This window comes from Homo sapiens, chromosome 20, assembly GCF_000001405.40.
Source record: "Homo sapiens chromosome 20, GRCh38.p14 Primary Assembly".
NCBI lineage: Eukaryota > Metazoa > Chordata > Mammalia > Primates > Hominidae > Homo > Homo sapiens.
In genome coordinates, this window is record NC_000020.11 from 32139100 (window position 1) to 32163725 (window position 24626).

The 24626-nt window shown below is 49.7% G+C and overlaps 1 protein-coding gene across 5 annotated transcripts in view, besides 4 other annotated features; it reads left to right on the top strand.

The window, feature by feature from the left end:
* TM9SF4 (transmembrane 9 superfamily member 4) overlaps positions 1-24626 on the top strand; it is a 57543-nt gene that overhangs the window by 29386 nt on the left and 3531 nt on the right. For 2 of the 5 annotated variants that reach the window (NM_001363731.2, NM_014742.4), the window contains exons 4-17: positions 2398-2566; positions 2667-2796; positions 3883-4006; positions 5992-6110; positions 6213-6324; positions 7686-7756; positions 10535-10667; positions 11523-11604; positions 11701-11776; positions 16004-16087; positions 18695-18870; positions 19352-19415; positions 20893-21012; positions 22177-22266. In NM_001363731.2, the coding sequence (NP_001350660.1) occupies positions 2398-2566; positions 2667-2796; positions 3883-4006; positions 5992-6110; positions 6213-6324; positions 7686-7756; positions 10535-10667; positions 11523-11604; positions 11701-11776; positions 16004-16087; positions 18695-18870; positions 19352-19415; positions 20893-21012; positions 22177-22266 (1550 nt within the window). The remainder of the gene's footprint in view (positions 1-2397; positions 2567-2666; positions 2797-3882; positions 4007-5991; positions 6111-6212; positions 6325-7685; positions 7757-10534; positions 10668-11522; positions 11605-11700; positions 11777-16003; positions 16088-18694; positions 18871-19351; positions 19416-20892; positions 21013-22176; positions 22267-24626) is intronic. The other 3 variants (XM_017028155.2, XM_017028154.2, XM_017028156.2) reach the window with 2 other exon arrangements.
* Positions 10131-11022: an enhancer, noted in NCBI's record as "H3K27ac-H3K4me1 hESC enhancer chr20:30737033-30737924 (GRCh37/hg19 assembly coordinates)". NCBI's record gives its function as "activates a minimal SCP1, AML or CMV promoter by ChIP-STARR-seq in naive H9 embryonic stem cells {active_cell/tissue: H9 hESC(naive)}" and the evidence as "EXISTENCE:reporter gene assay evidence [ECO:0000049][PMID:30033119]".
* Positions 13747-14041: a silencer, noted in NCBI's record as "tiled region #10464; K562 Repressive non-DNase unmatched - State 17:Gen3'". NCBI's record gives its function as "represses a minimal TATA promoter and a strong SV40 promoter by Sharpr-MPRA in K562 cells {active_cell/tissue: K562}" and the evidence as "EXISTENCE:reporter gene assay evidence [ECO:0000049][PMID:27701403]".
* Positions 13747-14041: an enhancer, noted in NCBI's record as "tiled region #10464; HepG2 Activating DNase matched - State 5:Enh". NCBI's record gives its function as "activates a minimal TATA promoter and a strong SV40 promoter by Sharpr-MPRA in HepG2 cells {active_cell/tissue: HepG2}" and the evidence as "EXISTENCE:reporter gene assay evidence [ECO:0000049][PMID:27701403]".
* Positions 20295-21186: an enhancer, noted in NCBI's record as "H3K27ac-H3K4me1 hESC enhancer chr20:30747197-30748088 (GRCh37/hg19 assembly coordinates)". NCBI's record gives its function as "activates a minimal SCP1, AML or CMV promoter by ChIP-STARR-seq in naive and primed H9 embryonic stem cells {active_cell/tissue: H9 hESC(naive and primed)}" and the evidence as "EXISTENCE:reporter gene assay evidence [ECO:0000049][PMID:30033119]".

The following is a 24626-nucleotide window of genomic DNA, read 5'->3' on the forward strand; positions in this document are numbered from 1 at the left end:
CCCTCTCCTGAGTGCCTCCTCCACACTGAAAGCATTGCTTGCCAGGGCCGCTACTTTGCACAGCAGAGTGCTGGCGCCTACAGCGGTGTAGCTCGCGGCCCTGCCATTTACCATCTGTGGGCCGATAACCCCCAACTTCCATCTGTGCCCTGACCTCTCCTCTGCGCCTCAGATCTTGATATCTAAGTGCCCACTTGATATATCCAAACTGAAAATGCCTTCGATGTAAATTTGCTGTTCTTCCTATTTTCCCACCTAGAACCTGGTTGTAGAAACCTCAGAGTCTTCCTAATATGCACCATCCCTCACTCATGCCTTGTTTACAGTCAGCACTGCTTCCCCTGGATTTCACCTCCTTGGAGCTCCTGAATCTGTGTACTCTTCTCTACCCTCACCAGCACCTGTTCCAGTCACCGGTGTCACTCATGCATGACTGACTGCCATCACTGCCCCCCACCACCACCACTGCTCACCGCCAGTTCCTTGCATCCTCTGTTTTCTTCACAAAACAGCCAGAATGATCTTTCTGGAACCAGACTCAGATAACGTCTTTCTCTACCCCTGTTAGAAACCTTCATTGGATTTTGTTGCTTTCTAGGTCAAACTGGTCAAGATCAAACTGTGTGTCCCACAGGCCCCCTGAGTACTGGCCCATCTCTGCAGCTCATCTGAGCCTTCTGCACTGTAGCCACACAGGCCTTTCAGGTTCAGTGCCTCCCCCACCCCAAAGGGGCCTTTGCACATGCTGTCCTGTCTGGAATATTCTCCTATTTCTTTGCTCAGTTAACATCTCTCTTCCTTTCAAGTACCCCTTCCTCAGGGAAGCTGTCCTAGACCCACTCCCCTGTGTCTGCAGCAAGTTATATATTCTCATTTTGCTGATTATTCAGCAAAGTCTATCTTCCTGCTAGGCCATGCACTCTATGAGTACATCTATTCAACTTTGCATCTTTAGGGCTTGGCATGTAGCCAGTACCCAGTACATGTTCACGGATGAATGAATGAATGACTAGATGACTAGGGAGAGTGCCCTGTCGAGCAGATCCACACTGGAGGAAAAGTGCGAGACCAAGTGCATGTGGAGGTGTTAATTAGTCTTCATCTTGTCCATCAATTGTTGAACAGCTCAGAATGAAAGCACCATGGGGTTTGCTTGATAGTCCCTAACTGCTCAGTGCCTGTTAGGGTGACATCTGGCAGCAGTTACTCTGAGGCAAAAGGCACACAAGGGGTGCCACTTCATTGAGTCAAAAGACGTTTTGCCTGAAAATCTCAGGTGCTGGATTTCACCCCACTCCCCTCCCTGCTGGAACCAGGATCTGAAGACACAGAGATAAATAGGAAACAGTCTTAACAGTAACGAGCTCATAGTCAGGTAGGGGAGCCAGAAACATGACTGTATCAGCACATTGTGCAAAGTAAATCCTTGACATAGGAACGGATGCTGATGATAAAAGAGCGTTTGATGCCTGCCTACTCTGTGCCTGCTACTTTATTGGATTGACTTCCTTTATTTCTCACTGTAACCCTGTGAGGTGGATACTGTTATTATCCCATTTTATGGATGAGGACATTGAGGCTCAGTGAGATGGAGTGACTTACCAAGACTGCTAAGGCAGGCAGCCGAGAGTCAGAGTCATCCCTCCACTGCATAATGCTGCCCTCACACAGGGCAGTCAGGGGAGGGAGTGATGGGCTTGTCCTGAAGGGGTTAGGGAGGGCTTCCCAGAGAGAGTGAAATGGAAACTGGGCTTCTGGGGAGGCCAGGAGCATGGGGCAGGGAACTCTAGGAGAAGGAAGCGACTGAGGCCCAGAGGCATAGAAGGATGTGATGCTTGGCTGGGCGCGGTGGCTCACACCTGTAATCTAGCACTTTGGGAGGCTGAGATGGGCAGATCATGAGGTCAGGATATCGAGACCATCCTGGCTAACAGGGTGAAACCCCGTCTCTACTAAAAATACAAAAAATTAGCCGGGCGTGGTGGCATGCACCTGTAGTCCCAACTACTCGGGAGGCTGAGGCAGGAGAATGGCCTGAACCCAGGAGGCAGAGTTCACAGTGAGCTGAGATCGTGCCACTGCACTCCAGCCTGGGTGACAGAGCGAGACTCCATCTCAAAAAAAAAAAAAAAAAAAAAAAAAGGATGTGATGCTTGATGAGTGCTGAGTGCTAAGGGGTCTGGTAGCACTAGAGCCCAAAGGAGGAGGGTGGCAGGTCGAGGTTAGCTGGGACCGTTGGGCGTGAAGCAATGGGAAGGGCATTGGCTGCCAGGCTGAGGCACTGCTGAAGTCCTTGAAAGCCCATGTTTGCCCCGCAGTCCTGTGTCTCTGTGACTCTGCTGACCTCAGCAACCTCAGGGCTGAAGCTCTGAGCTTGATCTGTCTCTCTTACGGCAGGAGAGGTGCTGAGAGGGGACCGGATTGTCAACACCCCTTTCCAGGTTCTCATGAACAGCGAGAAGAAGTGTGAAGTTCTGTGCAGCCAGTCCAACAAGCCAGTGACCCTGACAGTGGAGCAGAGCCGACTCGTGGCCGAGCGGATCACAGAAGACTACTACGTCCACCTGTAAGTCGCCCTGTGCTCCTTGCTGCCTCAGGCTCACACAGGGGAGGACACTGACGGGAGAGGCGGTCGAGAGGGACTGAGTGGGGCCTTCACTTTCCAGCATTGCTGACAACCTGCCTGTGGCCACCCGGCTGGAGCTCTACTCCAACCGAGACAGCGATGACAAGAAGAAGGAAAAAGATGTGCAGTTTGAACACGGCTACCGGCTCGGCTTCACAGATGTCAACAAGGTAGAGTGTCTTTGGCGTGCTCACAGGACCGGGAGCCACACCTCACGAGTCCTGAGCACTTGGGGCCACAGAAAAGGTGGGGCTCGGCCACAGCAAGTTTCTCCAGGTGCCCTGGGCATGATGGTCTGTCAGAGGTCCGAGTGCTCCGGGCAAGTCCCTGGGAGGTGCTACAGGGAGGTGAAGCCACAATTCTTAGGAAGTTAGGTTCCATTTTTGTAAGATTAAAACAACATAAAAAAAAAAACCGTGGAACTTCATCAGTATGTAGGAGAGAGGGCTAAGTAGTGGTCAAGAGCGTGCAGGCTCCCTGGGTTTGAATCCTTCCTCTCCCAGTTACTAGTTGTCTAAGTGACCCTGAGCCTGTGGTTCCTTAGCTGTAAAATGTATGCAGCAGCAGTGGCGGGGTAAATTAGCACATTCGTGTGAGCCCTTCCCAGCACAGCCCTGGAGAATCAGCTAATAATGTGATGATTATAGCCCTGATTCTCTTATCTTTCTTTCTAAACTGAAAGATATTAGTTAGGGAATAAATTACAAAAGTATGTGTTTTGAGGTGCAGCCCCTGTCCCCAAAGGGCGTCTGTCCTAACTGGGAAGAGAACCGACAGTGGGAGGCTCTAAGTCTCCAGTCCCAGCTGCCTTTCACTGGCCATTAATTGCAGGCGAGGTCAGAGGGAGCTCCTTTTACACTCAGGTTGTCACAGAGGAGGTGGGCCATGAGAAGTTGGTGGGCTTTTGCTGAGTGGAGTTGGGGGTGGCATTCTAGTTGGAGTGATTGCAGGGTAGAGACTGGTTCATGGGGCGGTGGGCACAGGGGAGTCTAGGTGAACTCATGTGACTTAGATGATTACACCCAGTTGTATCAGGGTCAGATGATAGAAGGCCTTGAATGCCAGACTTTGAGAAATGGGCTTTTGTCTGATAAGCTGCAGGGAGCCCTTGAAGAGCTTCTGAGTAGGGGAGTGATGAGAACAGTGTTTTAGGAAGGTTGGTACAACCAGGCATGCTGGGTGAGGCAAGGGCCCTAATACCTGGAGAGTATCCCTAAGTGATGTTCTGTTGTGCTTTCTCTGTTGCTGTGTTTCAGATCTACCTGCACAACCACCTCTCATTCATCCTTTACTATCATCGGGAGGACATGGAAGAGGACCAGGAGCACACGTACCGTGTCGTCCGCTTCGAGGTGATTCCCCAGAGCATCAGGCTGGAGGGTGAGTGGGGAGGTGTGGCCGGAGGGGCAGGGCTGGATGGGCCTGGGCTTCTCCACGCAGGGTCTTCGCACTCTTCTCCCTCCTGAGCTGGCCGATGGGCTCGGGTGTGGCGTGTGGGCCCAGCCAAGGTAGGATCATGGTATTCTCATTAGAGAAGACGGGGTGTGGGGGCAGCTGACAGCTGCAGTGTCACGGGCTAGACACCTTACTAGTTTACCCCTTCCCAGCAACCCCAGGAGGTACGTGATGATTACAAAGGAAGAACTAGAGGCTCAAAAGGAGCTAGTGACTTGGCCAAGACCAAACAGCAAGTTGGGGCTTTGTTGGGCCTCCTCACAAGAACCAGCCAGCTCACCCTGGGTTGAGAACAAGGGGCCAGGGTACAGACAAAGCCTGTAGGCAGCAGGTTTCTTCGTTCCTCTCCCGCTGTGTGAGTGATTGGCATAAACTAAAATTTGCCCAGGGTCAACAGGTGTGCGGGAGTTTGAGAGTCCAGCACAGTCCTGATGGGCCTCACAGGAGCTGGTCCGGCTTTGCCTCACCTCTTGGCCCTTGATCATCACAGTGTGCTTTTTAATTAAGCAGCATGCCCAGGATTTTGACCATGTTGGTGGTATTTGGACTTTTTTTTTTTTTCCACTGTGGAACTTAGTGTTCAAACAAAATTAGACACAGAAGTCCCAAACATAGATCCTGCCCTTCAAGAGCTCCATAGCACATCTCCCCTGGGAGCTTCCCGAGCGCAGTTCTACGTTTGCATGTGTGACGCTTTTGAGGCCACCTGCTCCCCCACTGGCTCTTCAAGCTTAGAGTCTCCCTGTCTCCTTTTCTTACCATTTTATCTTTTTTTTTCCCCCCAAGACAGAGTCTTGCTCTGTCACCCAGGCTGGAGTGCAGTGGCGCGATCTCCGCTCACTGCAACCTGCGTCTCCTGGGTTCAAGCAATTCTCCTGCCTCAGCCTCCTAAGTAGCTAGGATTATAGGCGCCCACTACCGCACCTGGCTAATTTTTGTATTTTTAGTAGAGACGGGGTTTCACCATGTTGGCCAGGCTGGTCTCAAACTCCGGACCTCGTGATCTGCCTGCCTTGGCCTCCCAAAGTGCTTGGATTACAGGCGTGAGCCACCGCGCCCAGCTCACCATTTTATCTTAAGCACCTAGCACAGTACCTGGCCCATAGTTGGTGCTTATTATATGTTGTTGGTTGAATGAGTAGATGGATAACAGGATGAACAGATGAGCAAATGAATGGAGAAAACATCTGAATGATTGATCACGAAAGTGCCAGGGCTTTAGAGATAGACTAAATGAATGAGTAGGCATGATGGAATGGATCAAGGTTTTATGTTGAATGGGACTGGCTGGATGGTAGGTGAACGTTTGAATTGAGTGAAGGAACACTGACTCAGGGAGGAACTCCGACTCAGGCCCCTCCCTTCCCCCATGCACAGGCCTCTCTGCAGCCCCTAAGGACCTTCAGAAAGTCAGGGCTCTGAGGAATAATTTTCAAAAACCATTGTTGGCCAGGCATGGTGGCTCACACCTGTGATCCCAGCGCTTTGGGAGGCCAACACAGAAGGATTGCATCAGGCCAGGAGTTCAAGACCAGCCTGGGAAACATAAAAGGACCTTGTCCCTACAAAAAAATGTCTTAAAATTAGCCAGGTGTGGTGACACACACCTGTAGTCCCAGCTACTCCGGAAGCTGAAGCAGAAGGATGACTTGAGCCTAGGAGGTTGAGGCTGCAGTGAGCTATGATTGTGCCATTGTCTGCGTGACAGGGCAAAACTCTATCTCTAAAAAAATAAGGTTTAAAAATAAAAAATGAAAAAAAACCATTGTTGCCCATTGTGCTCCCAGTCTCCACTCCCACCCTAGAGGCTGGGTCTCCGCGACAGGCAGCCTTGAGGGCAGCCCCTGGAATAGCCCCTGGGCAGTGGCACTGGCCACCACAGGAACAGACTGAGTCTGTGTCTCTCTCAGACCTCAAAGCAGATGAGAAGAGTTCGTGCACTCTGCCTGAGGGTACCAACTCCTCGCCCCAAGAAATTGACCCCACCAAGGAGAATCAGCTGTACTTCACCTACTCTGTCCACTGGGAGGTGAGAAGGGGCTGGAGCTCATGGGCAGGGGAGGAGGGCTCTGGTCTGTGTCAGGTTCTCCAGCAGGATGCCTGACTCTAAGTGCTTCCTCCCACCTGCCAGGAAAGTGATATCAAATGGGCCTCTCGCTGGGACACTTACCTGACCATGAGTGACGTCCAGATCCACTGGTTTTCTATCATTAACTCCGTTGTTGTGGTCTTCTTCCTGTCAGGTGAGAGATCTGTGGGTTGAGGGAAAGGGGATGGGGGTTGGGGTTGAGGGACTGAGACATCACATCATGTATGGGGGACTTCCAGGGTGTTCTGAGGGTCAGGCGTAGGTCAAAAACAGACATCAGGGCTCTGCTAAGCATCAGGTGTACATAGGTAAACAAGACTCATCTCTAGAGAGCTCTAGAACTCTGGAGAGCTCATTCATGGAGGACAGACACACCTGAGCCTGCACACATTCTTGATTCATTCAACAAGATGTTGTTGTTGCTCATTCTGTGCCAGGCACTTTGCCAGATGCTGGGAATATGGTATGAACAAGCCCGACCCAGTCTCTGCTCCCATAGAGCCTATATTCTAGTGGTGGGAGAGAAACAAAAAAGCAAATAAGTAGTGGAGTTCCAGATAGTGATACATTCTATGAAGCAGATCAACAGGGTGGCCAAATACACAATAGCTGAGGAAAGTGTGAAGGCTCTTTGGGGAAGACCTTTCTTTACGATAAGGAGCCACCATCCAGAGACCTGGGAAAAGTCTGTGCCAGTGAGGATCATGGTCCTGCAGCGAGATAAGCTCAGCAAGAAACCGGGTGGTGAGAGGGTGGTAGGCAGGGGTAGAATGACACTGATGGTTTCACTATCATATGAGAAGCACAGATAATGCTAAATACTGTTTATTAAACATTTACCAAAGGGCCAGCTGCTGAACTAAGCACTTTACAAACATTTCAATCCCTGAAGCCCTGTGAACTAGGCCCGAAAATGTTAAGTGAACTCAAGGTCATATGGCCCATTCTCTTAACCACTACAGTGCTGCCTAGAGAGGGAAACAGGAAAGTACAAATGGGGGTGGGAGTGGCTCTGTACTGTTCAGGGTGCTGGGACGTGAAGATGCCCAGAGTGAGCCTCGAAGCACGCGTAGGAGTCAGTCAGGATATGGCGGGGCATTCTGGGCAAAAAGGATAGCTTGAAGAAAGGCGTGCTGATGAGAACATAGTGAGGCCAGGAGCCAACTGAAGCAGCAGATAGCCAGAGGTGGAGCCACAGGCAGCCCTTGGACACATGAGCTGAGAAGTCAGTAGGACCAAGCGATGGAACAGCTGGGATGCTCCTCTCCCCAGGATACCCCTACCCATCCCAGCAACCCTTTCCTCCCCACCTCCATGCTCTGTGCTCTCCTCCCCTGGTAGCTGGAGTGGAGCTCCCCCGAGAAGAGGCCTTGAGGTGGCTGCATAGCCAGTTCATAATGGAGCAAGCCGTGCATGCCAGCTGTCGCACAGTAAAACATCATGTCTAGGAGGGCATGGAGCATGGGCTTGCTGGCAGCGCCAACTTCTCCTCATCCTCACCGCCATCTATTTCAGGTATCCTGAGCATGATTATCATTCGGACCCTCCGGAAGGACATTGCCAACTACAACAAGGAGGATGACATTGTACGAGGTCTTGGCTGGGGAGGGATGAAGTTGGATGGGGAGGGGAGGAGGACCGTGTGTGTGCATATGTTTGTGTATATTATCATTCAAAGAGGAAACCTCAAAATACTAAAACAGTTTAGTATACTTTTTTTTTTTTTTTTTGAGACGGAGTCTCGCTCTGTCACCAGGCTGGAGTGCAGTGGTGTGATCTCGGCTCATTGCAATCTCCACCTCCCGGGTTCAAGCAATTCCCCACCTCAACCTCCCGAATAGCTGAGACTACAGGCACGCACCACCACACCTTGCTAACTTTTTGTATTTTTTAGTAGAAACGGGGTTTGCCATGTTAGCCAGGATGGTCTCAGTCTCCTGACCTCATGATCATCTGCCTCGGCCTCCGAAAGTACTGGGATTACAGGCATGAGCCACCACGCCTGGCCTAGTATACTTTTAATACTAAAAATGTAATACCAAAAAAGTAAGGAAAAAAGTTTTATTCACCCAAAGTGATAGGGATGGCCTTTCTAATTTTAAAGCATAAAAACCGTGGAAGAAATCACAAAAAATAGTTGATTGATTTGACATTAAAAATTGTAAAACTATTCTGCATGCCAAATACATAAACAAAACAGAAGGCCACAATGGCAAACAATATCTGCAACAAACTTGAAAAAAATGGCACAGTTTAAAGAATTCATGCAAAATCTCTTTGTTTTAAAAAAAACTAGGTCGGGGCTGGGCACGGTGGCTCACACCTGTTATCTCAGCACTTTGGGAGGCCAAGGCAGGTGGATCACTTGAGATCAGGAGTTCAAGACCAGCCTGACCAACATGTGAAAACTTCGTCTCTAATAAAAATACAAAAATTAGCTGGGTGTGGTGGCATGCACCTGCAATCCCAGCTACTCAGGAGGCTGAGGCAGGAGAATCACTTGAACCCAGAAGGCGGAGGTTGTAGTGAGCCAAGAACGTGCCACTGCACTCCAGCCTGGGCAACAAAGTAAGACTCTGTCTCCAAAGGAAAAAAAAAAAAAAAAACTAGAGGACAGTAGATAACTTGAGGTTAGGAGTTCAAGACCAGCCTGACCAACATGGTGAAAACCTGTCTCTACTAAAATACAAAAATTAGCTGAGCCTGGTGGCAGGTGCCTGTAGTTCCAGCTACTCGGGATGCTGAGGCCGGAGATCACTTGAACCTGGGAGGTAGAGGTTGCAGTGAGCCGAGATCACACCACTGTACTACAGCCTGGGCAACAGAGCAAGACTCCGTCTCATAAATAAATAAATAAAACCAAAAAATCTAAAATTTCGAATGTAATGATGAACAGGAAATTTACAGGCAAGACACTGCAATATGCCCAGTAAGCAAGAGAAAACTGTTTTTACCTCAGGAAGAACCCCACAAAATGCAGGTTCAAACAATCTTGAGAAGACCGTTTTGGACCATCATATTAGCACAGACTTTTTTTCTTTTTTTAACAGTACTAATTGTTGGTAAGGTTAATGTGAACTAAGCATCTTTCCATACCACCCATGGAAGTATAAATTGGTAGCTTTCTGAAAAGTGATTGGCAGTGGATATCAAGAACTGTAAAACAGGCTGAGCATGGTGGCTCGTGCCTGTAATCCCAGCACTTTGGGAGGCCAAAGCAGGAGGATCACTTGAGCCCAGGAGTTCAAGACCAGCCAGGGCAGCATAGGGAGATCCTACCTCAACAAAAACAAAAAAGAACTAAAACAGGCAACTTGTTTTGCACAGCAATTCTTCTATTATTTTTCTAAGGCAAGATTCAAAACACCAAGACTTGGTATAGAAATATTACAGCTTTTTTTTTTTTTTTTTTTTTTTAAGAGACGGAGTCTTGCTCTGTTGCCCAGGCTGGAGTGCAGTGACACAATCTTGGCTCACTGCAAGCTCCGCCTTCCAGGTTCATGCCATTCTCCTGCCTCAGCCTCCCGAGTAGCTGGGACTACAGGCGCCTACCACCATGCCCAGCTAATTTTTTGTATTTTTAGTAGAGACGGGGTTTCACCCTGTTAGCCAGGATGGTCTCGATCTCCTGACCTCATGATCCGCCCGCCTCGGCCTCCCAAAGTGCTGGGATTACAGGCGTGAGCCACCGCGCCCAGCCAGAAATATTACAGCTTTGAAATACAATGTCAAGCTTTTATTGACCTGAAGAAATGTTCACAAATACCAACTGAAAATAACAAAGTACATAGTGTGATCCCAATGTTATTGTTTAAAGCATACATATACACATATATACATAAAAGGTTAAAGGAATTATATCAAAACAGTGTTATTAAGTGGGAGTATCAAATCATTTTATTTTTATATCGTTCTGTTTAAATTTTTCTGTAATAAACATGTATTACTTTTTGTTCATTTGAATTTCATGCTACATACCAAATTATTTTTACTTTTTTTATTACACAAGTAAGAATGCATATTTCTTTCATAATCAGAAAAAATAAATAAATTGACTCCAAATCTCACCACCCAAGAACTCTTACAGTTGACATTTTAGTGAGTTGAGGTATTTACATTATTTTCCCACAAACGAGGTTTGTGGAATTTAAAGAGATTTTCCTTTTACGCATCTACAGGCATCAGGTTTGTGGCCTCCTTTTCTTGTGACAGTTTCAGATAAGCACTTTCTCCTATCACTTACACTCCTGTGTCAGAGCAGCGCTGGTTGGCACCTGAGGGTGTCAGCTGTCACCTTGGGGGTGGTCCCTGCAAGAGCTGCCTCCATCTTCAACAACCAGCCTCACTCTGGCCCTTCGCTGCAGGAAGACACCATGGAGGAGTCTGGGTGGAAGTTGGTGCACGGCGACGTCTTCAGGCCCCCCCAGTACCCCATGATCCTCAGCTCCCTGCTGGGCTCAGGCATTCAGCTGTTCTGTATGATCCTCATCGTCATCTGTGAGTGTGCCCAGCGGGGCCGGGCATGGGGGCATGGCTTCCTCTTCCAGGTGCCTCAAGGAGAGAAGGGTGGGCTTCCCTCCCTGGAGAAAGGGAACCAAGCTCCTGGCACCAAGTGGGCATGTCAGTATCTCTGGGCCAGACAGGCCGTCTATCTCAGCAACAGCCCCAGCCCCAGCCCAGGACTGGTGATTCACCTCACAGCCATTTACAGAGCCCACCATGTCTCCTCCATCAATGAGGCAACACATCATTGCTGTGAGCTTGGCCTCCTTTTGTAGTCAGAGGCCAAGTGACCTGCCCAAAGTCAGTACCAGGATTAGGATTGAAATCAAATATTTTTTTCTTTAACAAAAACCCCACTAATATATAGTAATTTTAGACAGCTTTGGAGTCAGTCTGCCTAGATTTACATCTCAGCCTCATGCCTCCAAGCTTTGTGACCTTGGACAGGCCACTTGACCTCTGTGAGCCTCCGTTTCCTTATCTGAAAAATAGGGAAAGTAATCACCCTGCAGAGTTGGTAAGGTGGATTCAGAGACCTGGCATTTGTGGTGCCCTCAGCCCAGCACCTGACTCACTGCAAGTGCTCTGTGGACCGAAAGCTGCGGTTGAGATTTGGCCAGCCAAGGCCCAGCAGCTGCTGCACCCCTCCGAACCCCAACTAAGACCCAGTCTTCCCCTGTAGAGGGTAGGGGACTATGCTGTTGAGAAGACAAGGGAGGGGGAGCCTCATCTGCCCAGAGTCCTCCTGTCAGCCTGTCCAAGGTGGGCCTGGGGCTGGGGCTGGGGCTAGAGGCCTGGTGATCAGCCACCCTGCCTTTCTCTGCCCTTCCTCCCTCCCTCCCTCCACAGTTGTAGCCATGCTTGGGATGCTGTCGCCCTCCAGCCGGGGAGCTCTCATGACCACAGCCTGCTTCCTCTTCATGTTCATGGGGTAGGTGTGTCTGAGTGGGCTCCCGGGGGCGGCACAGGCCTCCTCCACACCAGCTAATGGGTCCCCTTGGTGTGGATCCCTGCCATTTTCCCACAGGGTGTTTGGCGGATTTTCTGCTGGCCGTCTGTACCGCACTTTAAAAGGCCATCGGTGGAAGAAAGGAGCCTTCTGTGTGAGTGTCCTAAACCTTCTCTTGTTTGGTGGGAAGCAGAGAAGCTTCTTCCTGGGCTCCTCAGGAGAAGGTAGGCAGGTCCTGGTGGGGATTTTTGGGCCAGAAGCTGAGCAGCAGCAAGACATAGCAGGAGCAGCACAGGTCCAAGGGCAGGAATCCCAGGCTGTTACCCACAGGCTCGCAGCAGAACCTCCCAGGGCCTCCACTGCCCCATTTGTAAAATGAGGGATTTGAACTTAGGTCATTTTTAGCTGACATTGTCTGATGGCTCAAGCAAGAGAAGAAATAGGGGATTCAGAATAACAAGATTTAGAATAGCAGGGCAGCTGAGAGAACACCCTGAGTAAAGAGGGAATTGCCTGCCTAAGCCTGAAGAGGCCAGACCCAAGTTCCTGTCAGCCCATTTTCCAGGCTGGTGCCTGCATTTCTCTTTGGTGAGGATTGCTGCCCTTCTCTGGCCTCCTGGAGGTAAGGAGAGTTCTTGGCAGCAGAAAAGCGCGTAGCAACCAGAGGGGGTCTCGAGATTGACCTCACCTCCCAGGGATCCCCGAGCCCCTTCTCCTAGAGCGAGTGAGTCTCTTAGAGGACTAGGAAGACTCTTGGGTGCCCACACTCAGAGAAGTCTCTGGGCCCAGGATTCTGAAGCCATTCTCACCGCTGTCAAAAGCTCAAGGAGAGCTCAGGCTGTATCAGTTCTGGCTGCGACGCTTCTGGCACAAAGTAAGCCCTCGGTAAAGAAAAGTTGTGACCGTGACTATTTTGGGAGGATCAAAGAAAGGTTCCTGAATTGTTTTTTGTTTTTTTATTGTTGTTGTTTGTTTTTGAGATGGAGTTTTGCTCTTGTTGCCCAGGCTGGAGTACAATGGCGCGATCTCGGATCACTGCAACCTCCACCTCCTGGGTTCAAGTTATTCTCCTGCCTCAGCCTCCCGAGTAGCTGGGATTACAGGCATGTGCCACCATGCCTGGCTAATTTTGTTTTTTTGTTTTTTTGTTTTTTTTTTTAGACGGAGTCTCGCTCTGTTGCCCAGGCTGGAGTGCAGTGGTGTGATCTTGGCTCACTGCAAGCTCTGCCTCCTGGGTTCACACTATTCTCCTGCCTCCACCTCCCGAGTAGCTGGGACTACAGGTGCCCACCACCACACCTGGCTAATTTTTTTTTTTTTTTGTATTTTTAGTAGAGATGGGGTTTCACCATGTTAGCCAGGATGGTCTCGATCTCCTGACCTCATGATCCGCCCGCCTCGGCCTCCCAAAGTGCTGGGATTATAGGCGTGAGCCACCACGCCCAGCCAACTTCCTGAATTCTTGATGATTTGAGCATTTTTCTCTGGCCACCATATGCCAAGAGCCAGGGATCTAGAGAGGAGTAAAACTCACCACTCCCTCCTGGCAAGATTCTTCCCTGGAGAGGTCACCAGATACCCTCCAGGATTTCCCTCGATGGATCCTACATCAAACCCAGTCTTTTTCCCCCAAACCACCCCTTGCATCTAGTGAGCCCATCATTGATCCAGGCCCCCCAAGCCAGAAACCTGAAGCTGCCTATCCTCCTCCTTCCTCATGCCTCATTCCTTCTCAGACATCAAGTGCTAAGGATCTTCCTACCAAATGTTCTGTGAATGTTCCGTGAATTCCACCCCCTCCCACCCCCATCTCTGCATCTTCAAGGATTCAGACATCTTTGCCTCTCACTTGGCCCTCTGTGGTCTCCCTACAAGATTCTGACCCTTCCCTGGTGCCTTTCCACAGGGGGTCATCTCCAACAGCCTGCAGCAGTGTGGGTGTACTCTCCTACGGCCTTGCCTGTGCCATCCCCTCTGCCTGGGCCACACCACCCTTTCTTCTCACCTGGCTGGTGTCACCTCATCCTTTAAGTCTTAGCTCCTGCATCAGTCCTCCAGAGGCTGCCGCCTCCCCCACCTCCTACCCCGAGCCTGGCAGAGCCCTCATGAGACCTAAGTAGCACTTGGCAGAGCTAAGTAGGGGCAGGTGTGTTGTTCTCTACATAGGGGTCTGCCTTTCTCCCTGGAGCTTTTTTTCCTACCTAGCACAGTGCCCAGTTAGTAAATTTCAGCCAGGAAGGCAGATGAGGAATTCTGTGCTACACAACAGAGTCATGCAGGAACACAAAGGAAGGGAGGAAGTGACCTTTGAGCCGGGCCTTGAGGAGGATTTCAGATGAAGGGACGCAGCCAGCAGTGGGGCCTAAGGTTCTGGAATGGCCTAGATCCCAGTCTGGCTCTGCATTGGTTGATAACTTTCAACAGCCCTCTGAGCTTCAGTTTCCCCATCTCTCCAATGAAGATAGCTAGGGTTAACTGCACATAAGGACCTTGGTATAGCATTAGCCCTCAGGAAATGGATCCTCTGAGGTGTTGATGACCTATGCAAAAAGGCCCAGAGACAGGAATGTGCAGGAACAGTGACCAGTTGTTGGGTGCAGGGCTGTGAGCCAAAGATGAAACTGGCAATGGAGGTTTGAGCATCAGGTTCCGGAGGGCCTTCGTCATTGTGGTTAGTGACCCACCTGGATGCTCAGGCTGCCACAGCAGTCCCTGGCCTGGTGATCAGTGTGGCAAGAAGGTTCATGCCGGTTGTGGTGGCTTGTGCCTCTAATCCCAGTCCTTTGGGAGGCCGAGGCAGGAGGATCACTTGAGCCCAGGAGTTTGAGATCAGCCTGGGCAACACAGTGAGACCCTGTCTCTACAAAAAATAAATTACTTGGATGTGGTGGCATGTGCCTGTAGTCCTCCTAATCAGGCAGGTGAGGTGGGAGGATCACTTGAGCCCAGGAGTTTGAGGCTGCGGTGAGCTATGATTGCACCACTGCACTCCAGCCTGAGTGACAGAGTGAGACCCTGTCTCTGAAGAAAATAGAAGAAAAAGTCTCAACTGTAACTCTGGTGCATTGACTAGACTAGAATCCCTGTGCCTATACCCCACCCAAGAGATTCTGACTGGCAAGAATACACTGCAGTAGGTCAGGAGCATGGGCTCTGGGGTCAGACTGCCTGCGTTTATACCTCTGCTGTACCTTCAGGAGGCTGGGTGACGTGGAGGTGGTGAGGGGTTGTCTTTAACATCGCCAGGCCTCAGTGTCCTCATTAAAAGGAATAATGGTAGACTTTCCTTCCAGACTTGCGTGAGGATTAGGTGAGACAAGGTACATAGGAACCCAGCATCTGCCACCCCAAGACTCAGAGCTTCACCATCCTTCTAGGCAGTTTGGGTTGGGGCCCAGACATACGTGTTTTGTTAAAGTTGTTTTTTAGGGTTTTTGTGTGTGTGTGAGACAGAGTCTTGCTCTATTACCCAGGCTGGAGTGCAGTGGCATGACTCGGCTCACTGCAACCTCTGCCTCCCGGGCTCAAGCAATCCATCTGTTTCAGCCTCCCAAGTAGCTGGGACCACAGGTGCGTACTACCACGCCTGGCTAATTTTTTGTAAAGACAGGGTTTCACCATGTTGCCCAGGCTGGTCTCAAACACCTGAGCTCAAGCGATTCTGGAGGTAATTTTTCTCCCCCTCAAAAAAAAAATTTTTTTACATATGTATATATTGGGTAGTTAACGTGTTCTTTTTTTCTTTTTTTTGAGACGGAATCTCGCTCTGTCGCGCAGGCTGGAGTGCAGTGGCACGATCTCTGCTCACTGCAACCTTTGCCTCCCGGGTTCAAGCAATTCTCCAGCCTCAGCCTCCCGAGTAGCTGAGACTACAGGCATGAGCCACCACACCGGCTATTTTTTGTATTTTTAGTAGAGACGGAGTTTCGCCATGTGGGCCAGGCTGGTCTCAAACTCCTGACCTCAGGTGATCCACCTACCTCGGCCTCCCAAAGTGCTGGGATTGCAGGCATGAGCCACCACGCCTGGCCAGAGTAGTTACCGTGTTCTCAGTGATGAGAGTACATCAGAGAACAAGGTAGACACACTCCTCCCAAGGAGCTCACAGTCTTTTGGGGATAGGCGGATATTGATCAGGTAGCCAAAATATGTAATTACGAACTGGGATGAGAGCAAGAAGGGGCAGTATTAGGGACCTGAGAGGGCATAGAACAGAGTCCTGCTCAGTCTGAGGGTCAGGGAATACTTTCTGGAAGGAATGATGCTTGAGCAGAGTCTGAAAGACAAGGAGGGCTTAAGAGCTTCTGGTCTGGGGGCCCCACCGGGACAGGTAGGGGAGGTCCCTGGATGCTGCTCCTCAACCCGGCCCCTCTTGCTCCAGACGGCAACTCTGTACCCTGGTGTGGTTTTTGGCATCTGCTTCGTATTGAATTGCTTCATTTGGGGAAAGCACTCATCAGGAGCGGTAAGTGCCTCCCCTACCCTTCCAGCCCCTCCCCAGCAAGCGAGGACCAGTTGCACTCAGCCCTACTCCCAAAAGCCACTTCCTGCCATTCCCTTCCCTTTTCTGAGTCCCCAGAGTTACGTTCCCAGCCATGAGGGCAGAGGGCCAGCTGGGGTTTCCCCAGCCCTGCCCTTGGTGTGTCATGCCCTGGCCCTGGCCTTCCTGTGAGATCTTTCAGTCAACTGACCCAAGCCCACTTCTCTAAAGGGAGGTTTCCACAGTCCAGCGGCCAACTGGGGAATTTCCCTTTGTCTTAACCAAGAGTGAGCTGCCCAGTGTGAGTTTATTAGGTCATTATCCCAAAGCAAGCCTGTCCTCCTCAGTGTCCCTGCCCCTCAGCACCAGCCCCTGCAGGTGGAGGAGAGAGGAAAGGAAGGATCAGGTTGTATTACCCTTAGAGCTGGGAATCCTGCCAGCCCCAGTCCAGTGTGTTACTAGCAGCTGTCCAAGACTCACTGAGGAGGATTTTGAACTCAGTTGTGGGGAGGGGGAGTGGGGTCTTGGTCAATTAGCAGGACTGCAGTTGAGATGTGGCAGGCATTTTGCTATCCTAGCCTTAGCACGTAGAGCCCTCTGCCCTCCACCTGGGGGTGGCGGTAAAGGTCCTTGCATGAGGCTTCACGTCCAGGCTTACAGAGGAGGGGTTTCTTTCCCAGCAACTTAGGAAGCCACCCTCAAGACACAGTCATGCCCTTCCTCTCACTTCACCTTTTTTATCCCTGTGTTCCTTCTCCCTTTGAGCATTTTCCTCCCAGTTACCAGCTGCTCATTATAAACATTCACTGTAGAAATTTTGGAAAGTGCAGAGAAGTTAAAGAAGAAATTTAAAATAACCCCAAATCTGCTCACCCAGAGATAAATACAATGTAGGTCTTTAATATATGTTGTCTTTTTTCCTTTTTATAGATATACTTACAAAAGAATTACATAATTTAAAATTTATAAAATAACAGCAAACATTTATATGATGCTTGCTTTGTAGTAATACTGTTCTAAACACTTTATATATATATTTCTTTTTATGTGATTCTTGTAAAAAGTAAGTGTAGAGAAGAGGATAAAGAAGAAAATGAAAAATCAGTTCTAATCCCCCATATCCCATCTAAGGAAGTATTGTTAGCTCTTTGGTATAGGCCTTTCCAGGCACAAATATAAATAGATACAGTTGTCCCTTGGTATTCATAGGGGATTGGTTCCAGGACCCCTGAAGATACCAAAATTCAAGGATGCTCGAGTCCCATATATAAAGTGGCATAGTGTTTACGTACACACATCCTGTATATTCTGACTCTTCTCTAGATTACTTAAAATACCTAATACAATGTAAATGCTATGTAAATAGTTGTTATACTATATTGTTTTTTAATTTGTATTGTTGTATTTTTTGTTTGTTTGTTTTGAGACAGGGTCTCACTCTGTTGCTCAGGCTGGAGTGCAGTGCTGTGGTCTCAGCTCACTGCAACCTCTGCCTCCCGGGCTCAAGTGGTCCTCCCACCTCAGCCCCACTGAGTAGCTGGGACTACAGGTGTCACCACCACACTCGGCAATTAAAAAAAAAAATTGTAGAGATACAGTCTCACTGTGTTGCCTAGGCTGGTCTCAAACTCCTGGGCTCAAGTGATCTGCCCACCTAGGCCTCCCAAAGTGCTGGGATTACAGGCGTGAGCCACTGTACCCAGCTTATTTTATTGTATTTTTTTTTTTCCTGGACATTTTCTTTTTTTTTTTTTTTGAGACGAAGTCTCACTCTCTCACTCTGTCACCCAGGCTGGAGTGGAGTGGCAAGGTCTCAGTTCACTGCAACCTCCACCTCCCAGGTTCAAATGATTCTCCTGCCTCAGCCTCCCAAGTAACTGGGATTACAGGTGCCCCCCACAGTGCCCGGCTAATTTTTTTTTTGTAATTTTAGTAGAGACTGGGTTTTACCATGTTGGCCAGGCTGATCTTGAACTCCTGACCTCAAGTGATCTGCCCACCTCAGCCTCCCAAACTGCTGGTATTACAGGCATGAGCCACTGCTCCCGGCCTTCCTGAACATTTTCTGTTTGCAGTTGATTAAATCCACAGATGCAGAACCCATGGATACAGAGGACCGACTATGTTGTGTTTTTATTAAAATGGAATCCTTCTATACACATAGTTTATAGCCTCCTTTTTACACTTAATAGTATATCATGTAGTTTTATTCTGACAAGATTGGGAGCACTTTGTACAGTGTTGTTTTTTCCCTTCTTTTCTTCACATAATGTGCCACATGTAATCTCTTCATTTTGACCTCTTCATCTCTTCACGTTCTCAGTCCACTCCTTCCTGTTCCTCCCCTACTTCCTCCCTGGATGGTGAGCTCCTCTGGGATGCTGAGGTGCCTTCTTCACTGGGAGTCCAGATCAGGGCTGGGGTCAGCCTCAAGAGATTCTGGCCAGGAGCCCTGTGGTGGGGGCAGGGAGTGTGCTTCTGCTGCACAAGTCGCCTCTCCTTCTGTGGAGCCCAGAAGGTCCCCTCCCCCTTGCGCAGCCCCCATCCCGGGCATCAGGGCCTCGTGGGGGCCTCATGGTGCCATGTCTACAGGTGCCCTTTCCCACCATGGTGGCTCTGCTGTGCATGTGGTTCGGGATCTCCCTGCCCCTCGTCTACTTGGGCTACTACTTCGGCTTCCGAAAGCAGCCATATGACAACCCTGTGCGCACCAACCAGATTCCCCGGCAGATCCCCGAGCAGCGGTGGTACATGAACCGATTTGTGGGGTGAGTCCTCCAGCAGAGGCAAGAGCAGGGGAACGTGGAAGAGGGTACGCCCCCCTCCGCCACCAGAAGGGTGCGGCAACCAGAGTTCCTGCCGCTTCAGCCGGCTCTAATAGAGTTTATGAAAGCTTAACTTCACTCCAAGATCAAGGTGACCAGGTTGTAGGCAGACTTGGTGTCATCCTAGGAACCAGGACAAGGAAGGGGAAGGATGGAAGGGTATAGTGAGACAGGTTAAGACCATCACTTGGACCTTGGGCAAGTCACCCCACCTCTCTGCACCCCAGTTGCCCATCTATAAAATGAGGAGAATAATGCCCACCCTGCCTACCTCTCAAGAGATTATAATAGTACAGAAATATGCCAGAAGAATTAGCACCACCACACTCGTGTAGGTGCTCTCTCTTCATGCCAGCTTGGGAAGGAGCTTGGGGCTTCCTGGTGGCCTGGTCTCTAACAATGTCAACCTCTCGTTCTGTGGCAGCATCCTCATGGCTGGGATCTTGCCCTTCGGCGCCATGTTCATCGAGCTCTTCTTCATCTTCAGTGTGAGTACTGGTGCCTCCCCCACCCCTCCACCCATGCTAGCCGGGTCACTCCCACTCCACTCGGGTGCTCTGCTGCCTACTGCCTGAGAAAGTTCAGATGGGCCACTTCACCTCTCGGAGCCCCATTCTTCACCCTGAAATTGGACAACAGCCTTCCCTCTCAGGGCAGCATTGAAAGTGAAATGAGGCTGGGCGCGGTGGCTCACACCTGTAATTTCAGCACTTTGGGAGGCCGAGGTGGGTGGATCACAAGGTCAGGAGTTCGAGACCAGCCTGTCCAATATGGTGAAACCCTGTCTCTACTAGAAAATACAAAAATTAGCCGGGCATGGTGGCACACGCCTGTAGTCCCAGCTACATGGGAGGCTGAGGCAGGAGAATCACTTGAACCTGGGAGGTGGAGGTTGCAGTGAGCCAAGATCGCGCCACTGCACTCCAGCCTGGGTGACAGAGAGAGACTCCATCTAAAAAAAAAAAAAAAAATTTAAATGAGATATGTGGTGTGTGGGGAGCCTGGTGTGTGGAAAGGGGGACTTGGTAAATAGAAGCTGCCTCAGTGATACTTCAGTCATTCCCCACCATGACTAATAGCATCGTTGCACCTGGTTTCATTTCTGGGTCCTTGCACATCTTTACCTCTCTGTGTTACTCACAGCTCCTGGGAGGGTGGACAGAATGATTCCTGCTTGTCAGGGTCATTGTGAAGTTGGAATAAGTCATTGTAAAAATGCTTGACTTCAGGAAATGCTGTTGTAATGGTGATGATGACTCCTCCCAAAGAGTGCCAAGATGAAAGTTGGTAGGAAGGCCCTTCAGAGGCATGTAAGTGTGGCTGACCCAGCTCGGGGCCCAGCACAGATGGTACCTTGTACCAAGTCAGTACCGGACATGTATCTGCTATTCCAGAGTAGTGGCCCAGCCCCTCCCTGCTGAGACCACCTCACCCACACAGGTTTGCCTGGGAGAAGGGTCAGAGGAGGTGTTGGCTGCCCATGGTACCAAAGCCCATGTGCACTTCCCAGGGAAGCCCCCTCTGTTTCATCTGTGTGACTCTGGGCCAGTCACCAGCGTCTCTGATCCTTGACTTTCTTAGCTCTACCAGGCCAAGCTTTCATAGACACACACATGTAGCAATTGTATATGAGGCATGTGGCATAAGGCCTAGCGCTTGGTAAGCTGCTCAAGTGGTGGTGGCTGCTCTATAATTTTGATTTGGATAAGAATCATTATTTTCTACAAGCTGCTGAGTTCAGGCTGGGGTCTACCCAGAGCAGGTCAGTCAACCCCTGGCCCCTCCCTAAGGACAGTGTGGCTCACCCCCTGCTCTGGGGAAGAGGGGCCAGAGCCACATGCCAGGCCCACGGGCCCTGATGGTGTCATGATGATGTGTCCACTCCTGCCCTTGTGACAGGTTGGTGTGCCAGGGGAAGGGGAGCAGGGTGGTCAAGCCAGCTGAAGCCCCACTGTGTGTCCACAGGCTATCTGGGAGAATCAGTTCTATTACCTCTTTGGCTTCCTGTTCCTTGTTTTCATCATCCTGGTGGTATCCTGTTCACAAATCAGCATCGTCATGGTGTACTTCCAGCTGTGTGCAGAGGTGAGGAGAGCAGGGCCAGGAGGCGGGGGAGGGAGAACTGGATCCAGCATTGAACGGGTTGATGAGGCTCTGCGGAGAGGCTGGGTCTGGGCTCTTCATGTGGCCCCTGCTTCTGGCTCTGAGCTCTTGGGCCAGTACGTTGCTGTGCCTCTCCCAGCCTCCATGTATTCAGCTGTACCCTGGGCCTAATGAGATACCTTCCAGCTTAGTTGTGTGGGGTACTCACCACAGCTAGATGAAAGGACAGTAGATTTGCCAGTGCCAAGTCCACTCCAGTAGTAGTTTCTTCAACAGGCTGATGCACACTGGGTGGCCTGCCCTCCCTCTGGGAACTGGCCATTGGCAGAGTGGGTGAAGCCAGGGTTTGGGATGAACAGTCCCTCTGGGCTGGGACCCTGGCTCCTCCATGAGTAGCTCTGGGTCTTGGGCGGGTTGCTTAACTTCATGCCATCCGTTCCTCCTCCACATGATGGGGTGAGTGAGAGGACCTAACTTGGAGGGCTGCTCTCAGGATTAAATGAGTGGATTCATCTATAGCACTTAGAGTGGTGTTTGCCAGCCAGGCACGGTAGCTCACGCCTGTAATCCCAGCATTTTGAGAGGCTGAGGCGGGCAGATCACAAGGTCAGAAGATCGAGACCATCCTGGCTAACATGGTGAAACCCCATCGCTACTAAAAATACAAAAAGTTAGCCGGGTGTGGTGGCACGTGCCTGTAGTCCCAGCTACTTGGGAGGCCGAGGCAGGAGAATCACTTGAACCCAGGAGGCGGAGGTTGCAGTGAGCCGAGATCGCACCACTGCACTCCATCCTGGGCGACAGAGTGAGACTCCATCTCAAAAAAAAAAAAAAAAAAAAAAAAAAAAGAATAGTGCCTGCCACATGCTAAGCATTTGCTCGAGAAATGTTAATTATTTTTTTGTTGTTGATTTTTTTTTTAATGAGGTATAAACTGTAAAGTTCACCCTTCTTTGTCCACAGTTCTGTGGTTTTTAGAAATGCATACAGTTCTGGAACCACCATCACAGTCAAGCTGTGAAACATTTCCATCACCCCATATGTTACTGCTCTTACCAGAGTCTTCAGCCCCTCAAGCAACTGTGAAATTGGTAGGAAGGGGTTCTGCCCCAGGACAACACTGACCTTCCTCTGTTTCCTCCTCAGGATTACCGCTGGTGGTGGAGAAATTTCCTAGTCTCCGGGGGCTCTGCATTCTACGTCCTGGTTTATGCCATCTTTTATTTCGTTAACAAGGTACTGCCCTCCTTGAGGAGGTCCTCTTAGTCCTCATAGGGTAGGAAGGTCAGGAGGAGGATGCTGGGAGAAAAACCCAAGTGCCTGAATCTTCCTTTTCCACCCAGAATGGGGAGGACCAAAGCCACCTAGAACTGTTCCTGCTCTAGAAGATGGATCTTTTTAGGAAAGAAAGAATCTGTATTCTGTATGTTTGGGAGACAAAGGCCATCAGGATACGTGACAATGTGAATAATGCTTGTAAAACTTACGAGGTATAGCCATAGCCAAAGCAGGACTTGAAAGCAATATGTCACCTGCAGTGCTCTTCACAGGAAATAAGAGGGACTAATAACACCTTGAGAAAAAGGAAAAGATAAGAGTAACATGAAAGAAGAAAAGTAGAAAGGAGTTAATAAAGATAAAAGCACAAAATGCTGAAATAGTCTAAATAGTAGAACCCAAATTTAGGGCTGCAGGTATCCTGTCTCTGCAGGTGTTCTCTTCTTCACGCAAGTACTGTTCAATCCTGCAGAGTAAGGAGAGGATGGGAAAGTTTTTCACAGGCACCTCGGAGCCCTCCTAACTCTGTGACCCCACATAGGTAAAGTGTGGCCCAATAATAAGAGGGAGCCAGGCTTACCTGACTAGGGCAACTCACAGAGCTCATTGTCCCGAGAGAGAGACGTGGGCAAGAATACAGATGTCCCCACGACAGTTTTACTAGATTCATTCATGATACACAAACCAGATGAGCCATTGAGAGGAATTTGGAGGAGCCCTGTTGGGCCCCTCACCTCCAAAACTAATACTCAAGACTTACTCTGACCTGCTGTACTTTGGGTCTCCAGAGCCCAGAAGCAAGCAGTCCTCTGTGGCAGTCAGGCGTATTTGCAAAATAGAGTTGTAGGTCAGTTGATCGAAGCTGGGAATGCCGTTTCCCAAAAACAGTCAAGTTGGAAAAGACTGGAAGGATCATTTAGTGTAGTGCTGTACCCCTACCTCCAGTCTGGTGACTGTGCCCCTCTTCTCTAACAGTCTCAACAGATGATTCTCTAGCTCAGGGGTCAGCAAACTGCAGCCCGCGTGGGCCAGCAGGCCTGTTTCTATAAATTTTTATTGGAACACAGCCATGGTCATTCATTAACATATCTGTCCATGGCTGCTTTCACACTACAATGGCAGAGTTGAGTAGTTGCGACAGGGACCATATGGCCTGCAGAAACTAAAATATTTACAATCTGGCCCTCTAAGTAAAAGATTGCAGACCCCTGCTCTACTACATCCAGCAACAGAGAAGACACTCCCTCCTAACATTCCCATTCTTTCTGGACAGCTCCTGTCATTATCAAGGTCTTGATTCACACTGCAGTCTCCCTTGCTGTGACTTCCATCTTTAGACCTTAGTCTTAATTCTGGGATCATCTAGAACAAATCTAATCTCCCTCCTCTATAGCCCATATTAATCATAACTCTCATAAGTGGCAAGTGACTAAAACTCTATCAAAGTAGCTTAAGCAAAAAAAAAGGGAAAAAAAGTAGCTTAAGCAAAAAGAATGTATTTGCTTATATAACTGGAAAGACTAAGAAATTGGAGTTCTAGCCTCAACCATGCTTAGATCCAGAGTCTCAAAAATATCAGGGCTCAATCCCAGCACTTCGGGAGGCCGAGGAGGGTGGATCACAGGGTCAAGAGATCGAGTCCATCCTGGCCAACATGGTGAAACCCTGTCTCTACTGAGATACAAAAAATTAGCCGGGCGTGGTGGTGCACGTCTGTAGTCCCAGCTACTCAGGAGGCTGAGGCAAGGGAATCGCTTGAACCCTGGAGGCAGAGGTTGCAGTGAGCCAAGATCGTGCCACTGCACTCTAGCCTGGGTGACAGAGCAAGACTCCATCTCAAAAAAAAAAAAAAAAAAAAAAAATATATATATATATATATATATATATATGTATGTATGTATGTATGTACACATACATACCAGGGCTCTGTGCCCACGCCTTAGCCCTGTGTATCTTTTTTTGGCCTCAGTCTGCAGGCAAGATCTTTTCACAAAGTAGAAAGATGGCCAGTGGCAGCCCTAGAGTCTACTCTTTCCAGCTTTGCAGCCCTAGAGCTAAAAGACTGTCTTTCGTCTACCATGATACGTCAGCCAGTGAAGACACGCTGCTCTGCTCGGGTGACATGCCCAGTGCTCACTGTTTTCCAGGTCCAATAGCATCACATATTCAGACAGACTGGCTTAGGTCTTGTGCTAGGAATTTTTTTTTTTTTTTTTTTTTTTGAGATGGAGACTCGCTCTGTTGCCCAGGCTGGAGTGCAGTGGTGCGATCTTGGCTCGCTGCAGCCTCTGCCTCCCGGGTTCCAGCGATTCTCCTGC